Source organism: Homo sapiens, chromosome 15, assembly GCF_000001405.40.
Source record: "Homo sapiens chromosome 15, GRCh38.p14 Primary Assembly".
NCBI classification, from domain to species: Eukaryota; Metazoa; Chordata; class Mammalia; order Primates; family Hominidae; genus Homo; species Homo sapiens.
This window is the reverse complement of record NC_000015.10, coordinates 56,242,053-56,259,233: the sequence shown is the minus strand read 5'-3', so window position 1 is coordinate 56,259,233 and position 17,181 is coordinate 56,242,053. Positions and strand designations below refer to the sequence as shown.

Sequence of the window (17,181 nt, the reverse complement as noted above, 5' to 3'; positions counted from 1 at the left end):
GAATGAGAATGGCTGTCTTCCAACAAAAATTTATTTACAAAAACAAATGGCAGGTCACATGGGCCATAAATTTCTGACCCCTGCTCTAGAAGATAACGGAATATTTCATGACATTGGGTAGGCAGTGATTTCTTAAATAAGATTCCCCAAAAACATAAAACATAAAAGATGGATTAATTCAAGTTCTGAGGTTATGTTTATTGAAAGGCATCATTAAGAGGATGAAACAGCAAGACATAGTTTAGTAGAAGATATTTGCTATATATGCATATATATATGTATTATATATGTTTTATATATACATATAGGTGTTTATATATGTATATATATACACATATATATTCATATATATCCAACAAATAACATATCTACAATATCTAAAGAATGTCTACAAATCAATAAGAAAAAGGCAAATCAATAAACAAAATGAGCAAAAACTTGAGCAAGCATTTTACAAAAGAGACTATCAATATGAATATAAGCACATGAAAAGATGTTCCATATAATTAGTAATCAGAGAAATCTAAATAAGAATAAACCATACTCAGATATTAGTACATCCCCAACAAAATGGAGGAAAGGAAAAAGAGTGACACAAAAATCAATGTGCAAAAATCGCTAGCATTCCTAAACACCAAAAACAGGCAAGCCAAGAGCCAAATCATGAGTGAACTTCCATTCACAATTGCTACAAAAGAATAAAAAACCTAGGAATACAGCTAACAAGGAAAGTGAAGGACCTCTTCAGGATAACTACAAATCACTGCTCAAAGAAATCAGAGATGACACAAACAAATGGAAAAACATTCCATGCTCATGGATTGGAAGAATCAATATTGTGAAAATGGCCATACTGACCAAAGCAATTTATAGATTCTACGCTACTCCCATTAAACTACCATCGACTTCTTCACAGAACTAGAAAACACAATTTTAAAATTCATATGGAACCAAAATAGAGCCTGAAGAGCTAAGGCAATACTAGGCAAAAAGAACAAAGCTAGGGGCATCATGCTACCCAACTTCAAACTATACTACAGGGCTACAGTAACTAAAACAGCATGGTACCAGTACAAGAACAGACACATAGACCAGTGGAACAGAGTAGAACACCCAGAAATAAGATCACACACTTACAACCATCTGATCTTTGACAAACCTGACAAAAACAAGCAATGGGGAAAGCATTCCCTATTTAATATGTGGTGCTGGGAGAACAGGCTAGCCATATGAAGAAAACTGAAAGTGGACACTTCCTTATACCATATACAAAAATCAACTCAAGATGGATTAAAGACTTCAATGTAAAACCTAAAACTATAAAAACCCTAGAAGAAAACCTAGGCAATACCAATCAGGACATAGGCATAGGCAAAGATTTCATGATCAAGATGCCAAAAGCAATTGCAACAAAAGCAAAAATTGACAAATGGGATCTAATTAAACTAAAGAGCCTCTGCACAGCAAAAGAAACTATCGACAGAGTAAACAGAAAACCGGCAGAATGGGAGAAAATTTTGCATTCTATGCATCTAACAAAGATCTAATATCCAACATCTACAAGGAACTTAAACAAACTTACAAGAAAAAACAACCCGATTAAAAAGTGGGCAAAGGACATAAACAAACAGACACTTCTCAAAAGAAGACATACATGCAGCCAACAAACATATAAAAAAAGCTCAACATCACTGATCATAAGAGATGCAAATCAAAACCACAATGAGATACCATCTCACACTAGTCAGAACAGTTGTTATTAAAATGTCAAAAAATAACAGATGCTGGTGAGGTTGTGGAGAAAAAAGAACACTTTTACACTGTTGGTGGGAGTATAAATGAGTTCAACCATTGTGGAAGACAGTGTGGTGATTCCTCAAAGACTTAGAGACAGAAATAACATTCAGCCCAACAATTTCATTCCTGGGTATATACCCAAAGGAATATATTAACAAATTGTTGTATTATAAAAGCATATGCACATGTATGTTCATTGGAGCACTGTTCACAATAGCAAACACCTGGAATCAACTAGATGCCCATCAATGATAGACTGGGTAAAGAAAATGTAGTACATATACACCATGGAATACTGTGTAACCAACAAAAAGAATGAGATCATGTCCTTTGCTGGGACATGGATGGAGCTGGAGGCCATTATCCTTAGCAAACTAACGCAGGAACAGAAAACCAAATACTGCATGTTCTCACTTATAAGTGGGAGCTAAATGATGAGAACACATGGACACATAGAGGGGAATAGAACACACTGGGGCCTATGGGAGAGCAGAGGGTGGGAGGAGGGAGAGGATCAAAAAAAAATAAGTAATGAACTACTAGGCTTCATACCTTGGTGATGAAATAATCTGTACAACAAACCCCCATGACACACATTTACCTATGTAACAAACGTGTATATCTTGCGCATGTACCCCTAAACTTAAAACTTTTAAGAAACAAATAAATAAATAAGTAAAAATTAGCTTAAATTCAGTATTCACCTCAAACTTTTCAAAATCTATTTCATACCTATAATTATATCCCCTTCTAATTTCTAATGCTGATAACTCTCTCTTTTTTTAACCTTGGTGAGACATTCCAGACTTTTGACATTTTTGGTTCTTTTCAAAAAATCATCTCTTAGTTTTATACAAATTTATCCCACCCCAACCCCCAACATTTTATTCATGTTTTTTTCCTTTAGTAATACCCTTGCTTCTACTTTATGTATTTTTTTCACTAGCTTTTTAAGCTTTATACATGATTTATTTCTAGCCAATCTTTTCTTATTTTTAAAACACGCATACCTGGCTGCATTTTCTCTGAGTATATGTAGATTTTGATTTGTATTGTTTTCACTGTCATTCTTATTGTTGCAGTTAAATACACTAGCTCTGAATCATGCTATCTAGGTTCATATCCCAACACTGTCATTTATGGATTGTGTGCCCTTGGCCGGGTTATTTAGTACAGCTTTGTGCTTCAGTTCCTCATCTGTGACATGAGATGATAATGGAATCAACTTCCCAAGATTACTGTGAAAATAAAAAGATAATCCATGTAGATCACTTAGCATAATGCTGGTTGTATAACAATGTTCAATAATTTTAACATATTATCATTTGTAAATAATTTATAATTTCATTTTAAATTTTTTTGTATTAAAGGAGTGGTTTTTATTTCCAAGTTTATAAACAATTTGCTTATTAATTACAACTTTTATTTCAGTATAAAAAATGTAACCTGAATGATTTATCTTGAAATTTAACATTTTCTTTGTGTTTTAGCAGCTAGTTAATGTTTCATGTGTGTTTGAGGAGACTATGCATTCACTGTTTATTCATACAAAGTCCTTTATTCGATCAAGCTTCTTTGTTATTCTAATCCTCTCTATCCTTACTTTTTTCCTACTTGATCTATCAATTTGAGATGTGTGTTAAAGTCTTCTAAAATGGCTCTGTATTTTTCATTCCTACTTATATTTCTATCATTTTCACTTTATAGGTTATAAAGATGACATTTGATGTTATATTCTTAGATTTATAAAGGTTCAGTATTAGTAGAGCTTCTTACAGAATTCTATTTTTCACTAATATGAACATTTTTTATCTTGTCAAACCCTTTTCGCATTATTCTTTTTTGTCTAACATTGTTACTATATTTGTTATCCTTATTAGAACTTGCCTGATGTATCTTTCTACGTTTTTATTTCCAACCTTCTTTTTAGGTGTCTTTTTCTAAATTTGAGATTTTTTTATTAAAGAAATTCTGTCCATGTGTCATGTACTGGAATCACTGATGGCTTGACTTTTTTTCTGCCATCTGGTGTTCCATATGTGTGTGTATGTGTTTATCATATACACACAGCTATATAAAAGTTATAAAACATACAGCTTTTAGAACTTACCTCCTATCTCTCCATCATGCTTTGTCCCTGCCATCTTTATGTTGCAATCATCTAGAACAGGGGTTCACCTGCCCCCTGCTTTTGTAAAGTCTTATCGCACATTCATTTACATATTATCTATGACTGTTTTCACACTACAACAGCAGAGCTGAGTGGTTGCAACAGAGTCTATATGGAACACAAAACTGAAAATATTTACTATCTGGTCTTTTACAGAAAACATTTGCCAACGTCTAATCTAGATTTTAATTTTATGCTATTAATTTTAAATATATGTCATATTTAGACAAATCATCTCTTTTCTCTCCACTGATTCTTGAATGCTTCACCTTCATCTTTCTTGGATTCATCATTTATTTTGTTAAAATTTATCCTATAGTCATCCTTTCAAAGAGATTCTATTGGTGATACATATGTCCTGAGTTTATTTCAAAAATCATGTTTTTAAATTTCTGGGATCATTGTTTCATTTTCATGGATGTAATATCTTGAACCTCTTTGAGGATAATTGTTATATTTGTGATATTTATAAGTATATATTTTATATACAATAATTATATTTTCTTAAAATTATAAAATTTATAAAAAGAATTTGTATTCATCTTTTTTAAATTTATAAACTCTCTTTCGTTAGGTATTATTTTTTCTGAGTTTGGTGTCTCTGCAAACTTGTATTATTCTTGTATTGGATTATTCTTTTACTTTATAAATAAGAATCCCTGTTAGCTCTCTCCTTCTGCTTGATGTGGGTCAACTTGTGATTATAGGTGAAGGGAAGGGCATATTGCTGGGGAGAGTGTTTCTTTTCAGAGTGAGGAGCCTCCCTGTGCCTCCTGGGGTCCACTGCTACTCTTCTGTCTGTTGGCTCTCAGAATCCACAGGCTCACTACTTAATCTGTGGACAATTACAAGCAAAAGAAGGGAATGTGAGTAGCAGTCCAGCTGCTCCAAATGCAGTGTTTCAGTTAATCACTCTGGCCATTACCCTAGGATGTCCTATTCATAGAACCTGTTCTCTCTGAGCTTGTAGCATCCCTGAAATTTATCCTACCTCCTCAGCAATCTAGAGCCAAATGTACGGCACAGTTGCTCTAGTATGTTTTTCTAAAGTCTGATCCCATCTCCTGAAAATTTCTCATACACTTACGGCATTTTTCTTGTCCCCTGTCCTGTTACCAATTAACCTCACCCCCTTTAATCTTTTCTGTCATTTCATAAGATTTGGTAGAGGTAACTTTCCTGCAGGCTGGCATCTTGATTTACTCTTCATACACAGGATTTTTGAATTAACTCTTTCAAAACACCATTAAATGTAATTTGTGGGTGATAACCTATGTTCTTGCCATTTTTATTTCAAAACATTTAAAAAGATACTCAAAGTTTCTTTGACACAGAGAGAAAAGTGAAGCCCTATTCCAACAATTCTCTGAGGGGCAAGTCTCAAGTCACTTGCCTTTAACAACACATTGGGTAGTCTATTCCATTTTTTTTTAATGTTCTTTCATGGGAGTGGGAGACACTGATTGTGAAGAGCTGTAATTTTTAGCCACTTTTTCCACCTTATACATTGGGCAGCGATAAGTGACATTTTCAGTCAGATTTGGCTAACAAGCTCATCCTGTTATGGAATTCTACTCCCTCCCTGCCATACCTCAATTCCTGACTGCTGAGTAGCCTGTTCAGAGTACATCAAGAGCTAACTTTAACAGCTTTAATACTCACTAAGAGAACCCTTCTGAGAGTAGCTAGAAAGCACAGACCCTCATCTCTAATATTATTTGGGGTTTTGAGTCCCTGAATAGCTAGTGTCATTTGGCTTTCTTTAGGGACCTCAGAAGGGATACGTGTTTAAAGTTCCTATAAATATTGTGTAAGATTTTCCAACTGATTATGAAGACCTTCCGTTCTTTCTCCTTTTTCAGTTCTGGGGTTGATATTTGGAGGGGGTTAAAGTCAGACACCTCTGTACACTCCCAGGACTCTCTGACATAGCATGTGTTGAACCTCTCCTTGTTTTATGATTTTTGGGGTTTTTTTGCTTGGTGTAGGCAAAATTTTTTCTTCTTGCCATCCAATGGTGCCTCTTTCCCTATCTGCTTTGTGCATTTCAAACACGCAGAGTTTGAATGTCCTTCTGTGCTCTGATCAAGGAATTTCTTGCAGCAGCTATCTTAGGTGCCGTGTGGCTTTTAGTGATCATGACCTGTGCTTTATCAGACTATAAAGTAGTGGCATGTAAAAACTAGGCTGCCACCACTTTTGGTTTTCAGGACTCCTGTCATTTTTAGGGCCCTTATCCCCTGCCATCAATCTATTCCTTCCCTTCTCCTCTCTACCTTCCAGAAAAAAAGGAAGGGAAATTCATAATTTATTTGGCTTTTACTATGTGTAAAGCATTGTGTGGAGTATTTTCAGAAATATTTTTCATTAAATTATCAGTACAACTGAGTGAAGGAGTTATTATCCCCACTTTTACCAATTGGAAAACTGAGGCTCAGAGAAGCAAAGAACTTGCCTGAGATCACAAAAATGGCAAGTGGTAGAGCTGAGATTTGGATCCTAGACTCTAAATTTGGAAGCCCGGGGGATCTCCATGAGGGTCAGCCTCAAGCCTCATCTGCCCAAGAGTGTGGATCTGAATTCAGATAAGAAACTAGAGGTTACAGGAAGCACGCAGCAGACTCTTTTCCTTAAAAGGAACAAAGCTGGCCAGAGTACCTTTAAATCTGGAGAATTGTAGCACCAGATGTCAGGCTGAACAGACACAGTTGGCTGCTTGAAAAATTTTTGTAAAGTCATGGAGACATGAATTTTAAGTACAAATTAACTATGTTCTCAGCTCCTACACCATTATTATGAATAAGATATTGAGCTTTCTTATTAGCCCATTCTGCTTTTTCTGACATTCTGCTTTTATTTTGTGGCCTGGACAAAAAAAAAAAAAAAAGGTTTTTCTAATAGCTCAATTCAACAAACATTCATTGTTTGGCTACTTTGTGGGAGTGACTATAGTATATGTTGGAGATATAGAGAAGATTAAAAACATACTTCCTGACCAAATATAGTTTGTAGTACTGGAAGTCAGGTAGAGGGAGTGTAGATGCAAGAAATAGGCAAACAAACCTACAATTAGCCTACAATGAGATAGTATGACATAAGGCTGTACAAGGTACCACAGAGCCACAGAAAAGAGACAGCTAACACAAACTGGCTGGGAGTGGGTAGGGAATGGATAAGGGAAAACTGCTGAGAGGATGCAATTCTTGACAAAAGAGTGAGCCCTTCACACCATAACTTTATGTGTAAGACTCTCTGGGGGAGGAGAAAATCACACTAAACTAAGGAAGTAATGAAAGTCTTCTCCTGAGTGTCTGAGAAGATAATTCAGTTGCTAGAGCTGCACTGGAGCCTAAACAAACTTTTCACTCCCCAGCTCCCCTTAAGTTTCTATGCCGTCGCTTGTATGTCTGTTCCTGGATTTCTGGGTGGTTATCCTGAATTTCCCCAAGGCCTGGCCAATAATCCATTCCTCTTCATTTGCACCTGCTTTCTCTGGTGCTCCATGAGGAAATTTACTCAGCTTCTATCATTCCCTGGGCCTACTGCTCCTATCAACACTAAGCCATTATCTTATCTTCTTTAAGCCCTCTGAGCTCCTCTTCACACAGTTTCTGCTTAATCATTGCCTCTTCTGGTTGTTGTCTAATGGTTTCTGAGGTTAGCTTTCTCTTGTGTATCTTTCAGCTACTGTTTTTACTCCCAACTGCCTAACCTTCTCTCCTTATCATATTCATACTCTCCAAAAAAGGAATCAATCCGTTAGCTAATTACTAACATCTTCCTTGGGCAAAGGTTTTATTGAGTCAGCTCATAAGCCACTGTCTAGCCGGAAGATTGATTGTCATGGTGTCAAATGTTGAGCCCTGTTCCAACTAGGGGGCCAGGGTTACAAGAGACAAGGATGGAAGCTTACATCAACAGAGCCAGGCTTGGAGGGTGACTGTGGATATGGCCGACAACCTGAGGCTTTGCTGAATTAGGAGAATGACACTACAGGCATAATTAGAGGCATTTTAAACGGAGAAAACAAAAACATACTAACATCAGCCACAATATAACACTGGCATAACTTCAGGAGATGGTAAGGGAAAAAGGGATGAAGAAAAATAGAAATTCATCCTTGGGAATAAACATTTATGTACAGGGAAGAGCAGAGAAAGTAGATCTATTCTTGGAAAGGAGACAGGTTGGCCCACTTCATAAGAAATTACCTTTCCTGAGATCCACATAAAGAAAATCCAAAGACATCTTCTCAAATACATGAGGAGTGACTTACAGAGTGTGGTAAGTGTCATGGTTCCTTGGCCTAGCCAAGTTGACACATACCCAGCTATTCAAATCATACTCTAAGCTGGATGTTGCTGTAAAGGTACGTATTTTGCAGATGTGGTTAATTAGCTACAATCAGTTGACTTAAGTAGATTATCCTAAATAATTTTGGTGGGTCTCATCCAATCAGGTGAAAGGTCTTAAGAGCAAAACTGAATTATTTTGTTTTTTTTTTTCCCTAAGGAAGAAGAAATTTCACCTGTGGGTTGCAGCATCCACTATGCAAGGCATTTTGGCCTTCCCTACAGATTTCAGACTTGCCAGCCTCACAATCACATAAGCCAATTCCTTTAAAATATGTAAACATACAAATATAAAATATATATCTCCTACTACTTGTTCTCTCGTAGAACCTCGCTTTGTACACAGTATGGAAGCACAAACTCCTCAGACTAGCTTGAATACACTCGGAATTTGGTACCCCATATAACCTTTATCATCAGCTGTTCACTCCAATTAGACCAGTCTTCTGTGTGTCTTGTCATTTGCATGCTCGTTTTCCTGCTTCTACTCACACTGCCTTTCCCTTCGGACTTGTCTCCATTCTTTCTCCCACCTTTATAAATCCTTCATTTTACTCACACTCTAGCTCCATCCCAAGTCCTCCACGCCACTTTTAACTTTAGCTCCTTTTGCTCTTTCTCTAAACTTCCTTAGCAGTTATTAGCTACGCCATTCACTGGTTTTTAATCTTATATATCTCACCTACCAGTGTCTTTTTTATATAGCATCCACCACTAGGAAGTATAAATTTGCAAGTACAAATTTGGGTGTGCAAGACATGTCACTATTCTTTAAATCAAATTAAATTTACCACAGACTTAAGTGATCTCAGCCTTAATTCTGCTGGAGTAGAAGGAAATCCAATCTCAGTTCTTACTGGGCTTTCCTCTCTTCCTAGTACTGCAGTAGGGTTTGAAAGACTTATGTTGAGCCTAGAAAATGGAAGATGGACTTTGACATCCTCACTGGCAATTCCTCCACTTATGGGCCAAGAGAGGCAAGGGAATCCAGCCTCCCTAATGGCATTGTGCATCCATATGAGGTTAGAGTATCTCCCTGGGGTACTCTTATTCTTACTACTGGAACCCCAATCTTTGATTTTCTACAGCTCATGGGAATTTTTTTTTCTGTAATTCCACCTGCCCATAGATGCTTCTTCTTTCCTCTTTTTTTTTTTTTTTTTTTTTTTTTTGAGACAGATCCTCACTGTGTCGCCCAGGCTGGAGTGCAGTGGCACAATCTCGACTCACTGCAACCTCCACCTCCCTGATTCAAGCAATTCTCTGCCTTAGCCTCAGCCTCCCAAGTAGCTGGGATTACAGGCACCTGCCATCATGCCCGGCTAATTTTTGTATTTTTAGTAGAAACGGGGTTTCACCATCTTCGCCAGGCTGGTCTTGAATTCCTGACCTTGTGATCCACCTGTCTCAGCGCCCCTTCCTTCCTTCCCTCCCTCCCTCCTTTCTTCCCTCCCTCCCTCCCTCTCTCTCTCTCCCCAGATGTGCTTACCTTTTTAACCCCCTAGCAACATCTCCTCAAGGAGCAACAAACTTGAAAGACAGATTGCTGGGTCCAATTCCAGAAATAACATTGACACTGCATTCTAAGGAGTCCTGTTCCAGGAGGCTTCATTTAAAATGTGAATGGTGCCCCCTGGAGTTGCCTAAGAGAGAGCTCTTGTCAGACAACTTTCTGCCTAGTAACACAAAGTTCCCTTGAAGCCTGCTTGGAATGGAAGGGAGGGAAAATATAAGGAGCATAAAACCCAAATAAATAGCTCAATAAATTATCCTGTCACACACCTTTTGTTTGTTTTTTGTGTTTTTATTTCACTTTTAAAAATATGTATGGGCTGACATGTGTAGTGTTCCAATTAGATTATGAGCTTCTTGAAAATGAGAACAATATTTTACTACTTATTTTTTAATCTTTCTAAGGTCCCAATATAGTAACTTGTACATAGCAGGTTCTCGAATGTGCCTTGAAAGGAATGGAGGAATGATCGACCTTGTGAATTATTGGTTAGGCCCCACCTGTTCAGACTGCACTGGCACTGACTTCCTCACTGTGGGATTGGCTCTGGTGTCTTTTCATTGTCACTTTTAGTGTTAAGTAAATAACTAAAACACTTTTAGTGTCACAATTTAGTGTTTTTCTTTATCTGCTTCTGTTCACAGCCACTCCTTTCCTGAATTTCTAAGATATCAAATTTCTACTTGGGACTTTTTGGCCCAAGTTAAAGTAAACACTTCCTTTAAAATGTATGTAGATGATATTAACTTGAACCTTCTTTAATGTAAAAGAATTGAAAGTTACAACATAAACATGTATATGGTACCAACAGTGGAAAATTTCTAAGTGAAATCAAAGCGGGATCTAGCATTTGTTTCATCATACTACTCACTTGAAGAGCTGAGTATATTATGTGAACTTTATCCCACTAATCCTTAGAGATAAGCAAAGGTACTTGAAAGAATGACTTGTACAGATAGGGTCACATAGCCAGGTAGTGACAGTGTTAACAGTCTGCTGCCTTGACAGTATTTGAATAGTTAGGCTACTTAGCCTTAACACTGGGCTATACATTGTTTTAATGACATAATGACATATTTGTGCTCTAACAGAAGAATTCACATTTTCACAGCATACTTACATTAGCACTCTTGGTATTGAGAACATGTATCAAAATTTGCCAATATTAACTTAGTTCTGAACCCCCCAACTTCCCTCTTCTGTAATCTTGCTGCTGCTTTTATTTTTCTCCTCTTCACTCCCTCCCACATCCTCTTCTCTCTAATGCTATTAAAGACTGAAAGAAAGCTCAATCACATTACAGCATTGAAACTTATATATATATAAGCCCTCCTAGGACTACTTGCACTTTGAAAGACAACAGCTTAGCTGAAAGAAATTATCCATCACTTTCTGCTATCAAGGAAGAATTGGGAGAGGTGAAAAGCCTTCTTTCCTTGTTCTCTTAAATAACATGTAGGTCATTAAACTCTACTTTCAGCTTCTAGAGGAGAAAGCTTGCAATGGAAAAAGACAGAGGAAGTAATGATCAGGGGAAAAGAGGATGAGAGGAGTATTTTATTTTTATATTCAAGTTGGGAAAGAAGGAGAACAGGGTAGAACTTTACCTTTTCCATATCTGGTAAACCACCATACTTTGTGGAAGTGAAATGTATACTTTCAGCACTTAATCAGTATGTACCAATAATGAAACCGACTTTCAGGCCTTCCTTTGATAGAACGATCCTAACTATAATGCAAAGTAACATTTTGTAAAGTGGGTTTTTGTCTCTCTCTCCTTCTTTTCCCTCGCCTATACTACTTTAGGATCTGATCACAGAGTCAACACCGTGCTATGCATTATTCCTTCAGCAAACAGTACCCTTTCATGGCTTCACACCAGTGCTCATGTTACTCCCTTTATCTGAAATCATCTTCCCTCTGTTGCTCTGCCTACTCAACTCCTATTCATCCAACAAGACCCAATTAAAATGCCAGCCATGATGCCTTCTCCAGTTCTTCTACCCTGAGCAAGACCAATCCCTCCCTCCATTATGACTCCACAACACTAGTGGATATGTTTATAACTCATCATCTTATATATGTTAATATGTTGCTCTACTTCACAAAAATGTAAACTACTTCAAGTTGGGGCCAGGTCTTATTTATTCATATTTTCCGTGCCCAATACTGCTATATATCAGGCATGATAAATGTATATACTACAGTCTGGACAGTATAAAATGTTTACAGTTTCATAAAGGAGACAAGGTTTACAGACACAAGAGAGCAAGACAATATAATGGATTGGGCTAGGAAAATGAGGGTTAGTTAACTACTAAATTCCACAAATATTTATTAAATAGTCAGGAGTCAGGAATTATGTCCTGGGACTACTAGGATAAATAAAATAGTCATTTCCTTTGAGGTGCTGACAATCCATCTTGTAGATACTCTCTAAATGTGGACAACACTTCCCTGGTTTACCTATAACTTTTCATGTTTTCCTTATAGCAACCCTCTGATGTACATCATTATTTTCATTTTTATAGAGATCGAAACAGAGGGTTTGAATTCCCAGGTCTTCTGACTCCAAGGCCAGGTTTTTCTAACCCACTACATCAGTGTTCCTCAAAATTTTCCTCTGGTGTACACTTTCCCAGTAGAGAATAAACTTAGGCTCCTCAGGGTTGGGTAATACTTGTGTGTTATCTTAAAAAGTCATGCTTACTACAATGTCTTACCTTATTTACCAGAGAGTCAAAATGATGCTCAGAGAAAATGAGCCACATTGATTCTGGGTCCTTGAGGGTCCTCAGTACAGGGTTGCACAATCAAAGGAACCCACATAATATGAGAAGCACATGGCTACACTCCTGCCTTTATTCAGGGTCCCTGGGTTTGGCTTGAGTCCACACTCAAAATTTTGGGTAACTTCATCAGATTTCTTAATGTCATGATTTTATTCACAGTCTTCTCTGAAGACTGGAACAAAACACCCACTGTACTCCCAGATGTTAAGTGAGTAGTGAGGGCTGCCCCTTTCCTCCCTGAAAGGGTATCTCACTCTGGCAATAAGGTCTCCTCAGTCTGATACTCTCTGCCACCCCTCCCATTGCTGGTCTCCTTCAACTCCCTGTAGGTCCTGGAAGGCCGGAAAAGGTTTACCACCACACTCCGGTCAGCACCGCCGCTAGAGGGCAGCCCGCGGCTGCAGCTTCGTGAGCCCTCTAGTGGCTGCTGGGGTGACCTGGCTCTTTTATGGAACCCATTAAAAACTCTCAGAAGTTGCACTTGGGAAGCCAGCCTGTGTGACACCCGGTAGCGAACTTTTTATAAAACGTCTTGGTTCTCGGCTTCCTTTTCTTAAGGCCTTTGGCAGACCTTAGATACGTTACCCCCTCGATGACTCTCCCACTTCCTAAGGATCTCCCCCTCCCAGGGTGTTGCAACTTGGAGCCATCATTCTCTCTTGGCAAGGCAAAAAATTAGAACCTTGGGGAACTTGGCAACTTTCCTCAACGTGATATAGGGCATACACACACACACGTATATATATACCTACATTCAAGATTTTTCAGCGTAATTCCAGTTTCAGCATAGCTTGCAGGCTCTGGAATTAAACTTCCAGGACTCAAATTTTGGCTCCTGCATTTACTAATTGGGTAATTTTAAGAATGTTAATTAACCTAAGCTTCCATTTCATCTGTAACAGAGGGAGACTAATAATACCTACATTATACACTCTTGGGGAGGAATAACTATGATAATGTATGGAAAGTGCTAGTCTGGCACACAAAGTGTTCAACAAACATTAGCTATTTTTATCCTTCAAAGCTTCTGTCTAGTGCACACCATGTCTATCAATTAGGTCCACAAAAATACTGTCTTTACACACCCACATGAAGATATGTATGCAAAATGAATGTCGTAAACCACCTATAGTTTCCTAAAGTGGCTAAGCTAATAGAGACCTTAGAGTATGGAAAAGGGGGCTCATTTGTGTGATGCAACTCGTGCAATGGGTAGTTGGAGCACAGCGTAATCCAAGAGGCCCCGGGGGCGGGGGGGCGGCTTATTTTGCACACAGGTGTTCTTCCTCCCTGCACCCCCACCCTCAACCCTCACCACGTGCAAGCATTCAGTGTGAGTCTGGGCCTTAAGTCTGTGGGCCAGGAGAGAGGGCACAGTGGACAAAAGCAAGAGGGTTTCAGGCCAAGGCAGGGAACTGAGAACTCAAAGGCCAGGCAACCCAAGCCAATCAGATTCACCATCCACTAGGAGTCTAAAAGGTGGCAGAGCCCCACAGCCCAAAGTCCACACACAGCAGGAAAGTGGCCAGAGGATCTAACAGGTAGAAACCTGATAGACACTCTATCAGAAAAGTTAAAGCTGAAGGGCTCATAACACCCACGGGCCCAAAGAAAGGTCAGTGTGAGCTGAACAGCTGTTCCATTTGGTGCCAGAGGCCTTGGCTGTTGTATTCTACATCCACGCAGCCTCCCTGATCAGCCCCACCTAGAAAAGCCAATTCTTCTGCTCTTAAAGGAGACTGACTTATTTGTGGCAAAGCTATCATTTAGGTATGAATGGGAAGGGGGGGAATGGTGCGGAGTCTGCGGGGGGAGGGCGGGTGTTCAACGGGCTCCAAAGGAAGGAGCTCGTGGCTGACGCCTGAGCCTCCATGTTGTGAGTACTACATGCGTTTCTTTCAGAGGCAGGCAGTGGCCTTGGCTGCAGGGACCCTGACAAGCCGCGACTTGAGCTATGCTTTAGAGCCTGGGTGGAATTGGGAGCGGTATAAAGGAGGGAGGGCATTCCTGGAAAGGGGGTGGGGTGGGGTGGGGAGGTGGAGGGGAACAGCATGAGCAAAGGCACGAAGGAAGAATGAATCTGCTGCGCGTTGAGGATGGCATGGAGACTTCCCTGATTGGAGCCGGGAGTTCTTGCAGGGGGATGGAGGCCGCTATGATTGGATAGTTAAAGTGGGGCCAGATTTGGAGGGCTTTGAATGCCCGACCGAGGAGCACTCAACCCAGCTCCTGACTCGCGATTTCCGTTCAAGACCGAATTACCTAAAGGGTGGTTAATTCCAACGGGTGTTCTTCTTTGGGGGCTTCTGAAAAGTCAGTTTATCGTCTTACCTGCTTCAGTTCTCTTCATTTACTCAGGGAGGAAGTAATCCTCACATGCATGTGCAGGGGAAGGGGGATAATGTTGATTTCTCTTTACTTGCTTTGAAGATGCCTCCCCCGCCCAAATCCCATTTCCACGCCAAATATTATTAAATTTGGTTTCTCCTCCTCCTCCTCACGCAAGTTCTCTTTCTCTCGCCAGCACCTCCCCCACGTTTTCCTGCTCTCCACCAGCCGGGCCGGACTCCTCCCGGCCCCCAGCGGCGCGCTTCCCTGGCCCGCTGGCCCGCGCCGCCCTCCGCGCCGTGCGCCCCCATCCCGGCCCGTCGCGCCCGCGGCCCGCACACCCTGGTCCACGCCCCCCGGCGGAGCGGTAGGTGTTGTGCGGTCTGCGCCGGGCCGCAGTGCGGCTGCGCGCACTGGGCTGCCTCCGGGGCTGGCAGGGCAGCGGCGGCCGCGGCGGCGGCGGGGCCGGGAGCGAGCGGCGGCGGCGGCGGCGGCGTGGGGAGTGGCGTGGAGCGGTGCCTGGGGCTGCAGCAGCACGGGGACCCGGCAGTAGAAAGCCCCGGGGACAAGGAAGGAAGGCTTGGCCGCCAAATCCCTGAGCAACCGTTCTTCTTGGATTTTGGGGGGAGCCTGCCCCCCCCACTTCGTCTTCAAACGCCCCCATCTCACCCCCCCACAGCCCCGGCCGCTGACGGGAGGAGGCGGCGGCGCCAGCGGGGGGCTGAGGGGCGCCGCCATGCCTCTCCCGCGGTGAAGCGCCCCGGCCGTGAGGAGCCGCTGGTCTCCCCGGTGATGTTCCCCAGGCGGCAGGCGAAAGCGACTCACTCGAGCCCTGGGGTAAAGGCCTAGCTTATCCAGCTTCCTTCCTCCTCCTCCTCCTCTTCCCCTCCCCCTCCCCCTCCTCCTCTCCCCCCTTCGTCCTCCCCTCCCGGTCTCTTCCCTCACCCTTCCCCGCGCCCCCATCTTTCCCTCCCTCCCTCCCACCCCTCTGCAGCGATGGCAGAGGAACAACAACAGCCGCCACCACAGCAGCCTGATGCCCATCAGCAGCTTCCCCCCAGCGCCCCCAACTCGGGGGTGGCCCTGCCAGCCCTTGTGCCCGGGCTGCCAGGGACAGAGGCCAGCGCGCTGCAACACAAGATCAAGAACTCCATCTGGTAAGAGGATCCTCCATCGCTCGCGTGAAAAAGCCCAGGCACATTTCTGCTGCAAAGTGGGTGGGGGGCGGCGGGCGGGGGGAGCGGAGGAGGAGGCTGATGCATTCATTGAATGTGGCTTTCCCCAGTCGGGTGCACATTTGTAGGATCTCTGGAGGTGTGCGGACTTTGCATCAATCAGCCCCTGTCTTCTTAGCTAAAAAATGCTTTTACCCCTTCCTCAATTGTGAGTGCAGATAAACAAGTTTTTTGGTTTTATTTTTTCACTCATTGTAACAGAAATATGGGTCGAAATTAAGTCATATTGCATGATGGTGGCATGAATTTGGAACTGGAGAATGTGAAATGTGTTTACTCCTTTTTGCAGCCATAGAAGGAGGAAGAAGTGTATTGTGAATTTTCACCAAACAGATACTGTGCGTAAGAATATTAATATGCAGCACAAAACCTAATGTGTCTCTTCCTTTCAGTTGGGTTAGCTGCTATTTCTGAATGTTTTTGCCTCCCTTATCCTAATATTAAATTTCTTTTTCAGGGAGTTTATTCTTTGCATTGATTGTGAAGAAAGTGCTTTTTTAGTATAAAATATTTTAAGATGGTAGTTTACAACAAAGTGGTTTTTTTTTAAATTAAAATATAGGGAATCAAATGTCTTGCCATTTGTATGTCTTTTTAAAAGAAACCATTGATGGAATATCTTTCGCTATTTTACTTTCTTGTATGAAAATTTCCAATATTTCAGCATTAAACTCCTAAAGTCTAGTGGGAATCTTTTAATAATTAAATACACTAAGTCCATCCACTGTTAGAGCCATTGCAATATTCTTTGAACATGAACTTGCATTGTTTTGTAGGATGCTTCATTAACTGCCTTTTTTAAGTGTAGCAATATTTTTTAAATGGAAAGTAATATTTGGAATTTGGTCTAAGATTGCTTTTAATAGAAGTTTAAAAAGAATTTTATATGGTATTTTAAAAAGCCTTGATTTTGAAAATGGAAATGAAATCTTTGCAGGGCCATCATTGAATATGAGTACTAAAATATCAAAACTCATTTTCTCATTTTGAAAAC

At 40.7% G+C, this 17,181-nt stretch overlaps 3 protein-coding genes across 13 annotated transcripts in view, besides 9 other annotated features; 2 read left to right on the top strand and 1 right to left on the bottom strand.

Annotated features, from left to right (window-relative positions):
* TEX9 (testis expressed 9) overlaps positions 1–15,261 on the bottom strand; it is a 216,038-nt gene extending 200,777 nt beyond the window's left edge. For all 8 annotated transcript variants that reach the window (NM_001385043.1, NM_001385041.1, XM_047432470.1 and 5 more), the window contains exon 1: positions 14,956–15,261. The gene's annotated coding sequence lies outside the window, so the exon portion shown is untranslated. The remainder of the gene's footprint in view (positions 1–14,955) is intronic.
* Positions 13,446–14,091: an enhancer, noted in NCBI's record as "H3K27ac-H3K4me1 hESC enhancer chr15:56537341-56537986 (GRCh37/hg19 assembly coordinates)". NCBI's record gives its function as "activates a minimal SCP1, AML or CMV promoter by ChIP-STARR-seq in primed H9 embryonic stem cells {active_cell/tissue: H9 hESC(primed)}" and the evidence as "EXISTENCE:reporter gene assay evidence [ECO:0000049][PMID:30033119]".
* Positions 14,092–14,737: an enhancer, noted in NCBI's record as "H3K27ac-H3K4me1 hESC enhancer chr15:56536695-56537340 (GRCh37/hg19 assembly coordinates)". NCBI's record gives its function as "activates a minimal SCP1, AML or CMV promoter by ChIP-STARR-seq in primed H9 embryonic stem cells {active_cell/tissue: H9 hESC(primed)}" and the evidence as "EXISTENCE:reporter gene assay evidence [ECO:0000049][PMID:30033119]".
* The window catches only part of RFX7 (regulatory factor X7), a 157,803-nt gene continuing 154,773 nt past the window's right edge, over positions 14,152–17,181 (top strand). For 2 of the 4 annotated variants that reach the window (NM_001368073.2, NM_022841.7), the window contains exons 1-2: positions 15,355–15,789; positions 15,947–16,109. Coding sequence is in view for 3 of the 4 variants with exons in the window: in NM_022841.7 (NP_073752.6) it covers positions 15,949–16,109 (161 nt within the window). In the remaining variant the exon portion in view is untranslated. Of the gene's footprint in view, positions 14,395–14,848; positions 14,938–15,148; positions 15,320–15,354; positions 15,790–15,946; positions 16,110–17,181 lie in introns of those variants that run through there. The other 2 variants (NM_001370561.1, XM_047432948.1) reach the window with 2 other exon arrangements.
* Positions 14,330–14,379: an enhancer, noted in NCBI's record as "active region_9450". NCBI's record gives its function as "activates an Ori minimal core promoter by ATAC-STARR-seq in GM12878 lymphoblastoid cells {active_cell/tissue: GM12878}" and the evidence as "EXISTENCE:reporter gene assay evidence [ECO:0000049][PMID:35858748]".
* LOC124903569 (laforin-like) lies at positions 14,416–15,883 on the top strand. The gene is made up of 3 exons (XM_047433428.1): positions 14,416–14,500; positions 15,055–15,251; positions 15,352–15,883. The coding sequence occupies exons 1-3, from the start codon at positions 14,416–14,418 to the stop codon at positions 15,799–15,801; spliced, it is 732 nt and encodes a 243-aa protein (XP_047289384.1). The 3' UTR covers positions 15,802–15,883.
* Positions 14,630–14,679: a silencer, noted in NCBI's record as "silent region_6464". NCBI's record gives its function as "represses an Ori minimal core promoter by ATAC-STARR-seq in GM12878 lymphoblastoid cells {active_cell/tissue: GM12878}" and the evidence as "EXISTENCE:reporter gene assay evidence [ECO:0000049][PMID:35858748]".
* Positions 14,738–15,383: an enhancer, noted in NCBI's record as "H3K27ac hESC enhancer chr15:56536049-56536694 (GRCh37/hg19 assembly coordinates)". NCBI's record gives its function as "activates a minimal SCP1, AML or CMV promoter by ChIP-STARR-seq in primed H9 embryonic stem cells {active_cell/tissue: H9 hESC(primed)}" and the evidence as "EXISTENCE:reporter gene assay evidence [ECO:0000049][PMID:30033119]".
* Positions 14,738–15,459: a biological region, named in NCBI's record as "H3K27ac hESC enhancer GRCh37_chr15:56536049-56536694".
* Positions 15,170–15,459: a silencer, noted in NCBI's record as "silent region_6463". NCBI's record gives its function as "represses an Ori minimal core promoter by ATAC-STARR-seq in GM12878 lymphoblastoid cells {active_cell/tissue: GM12878}" and the evidence as "EXISTENCE:reporter gene assay evidence [ECO:0000049][PMID:35858748]".
* Positions 15,610–15,669: a silencer, noted in NCBI's record as "silent region_6462". NCBI's record gives its function as "represses an Ori minimal core promoter by ATAC-STARR-seq in GM12878 lymphoblastoid cells {active_cell/tissue: GM12878}" and the evidence as "EXISTENCE:reporter gene assay evidence [ECO:0000049][PMID:35858748]".
* Positions 15,760–15,829: a silencer, noted in NCBI's record as "silent region_6461". NCBI's record gives its function as "represses an Ori minimal core promoter by ATAC-STARR-seq in GM12878 lymphoblastoid cells {active_cell/tissue: GM12878}" and the evidence as "EXISTENCE:reporter gene assay evidence [ECO:0000049][PMID:35858748]".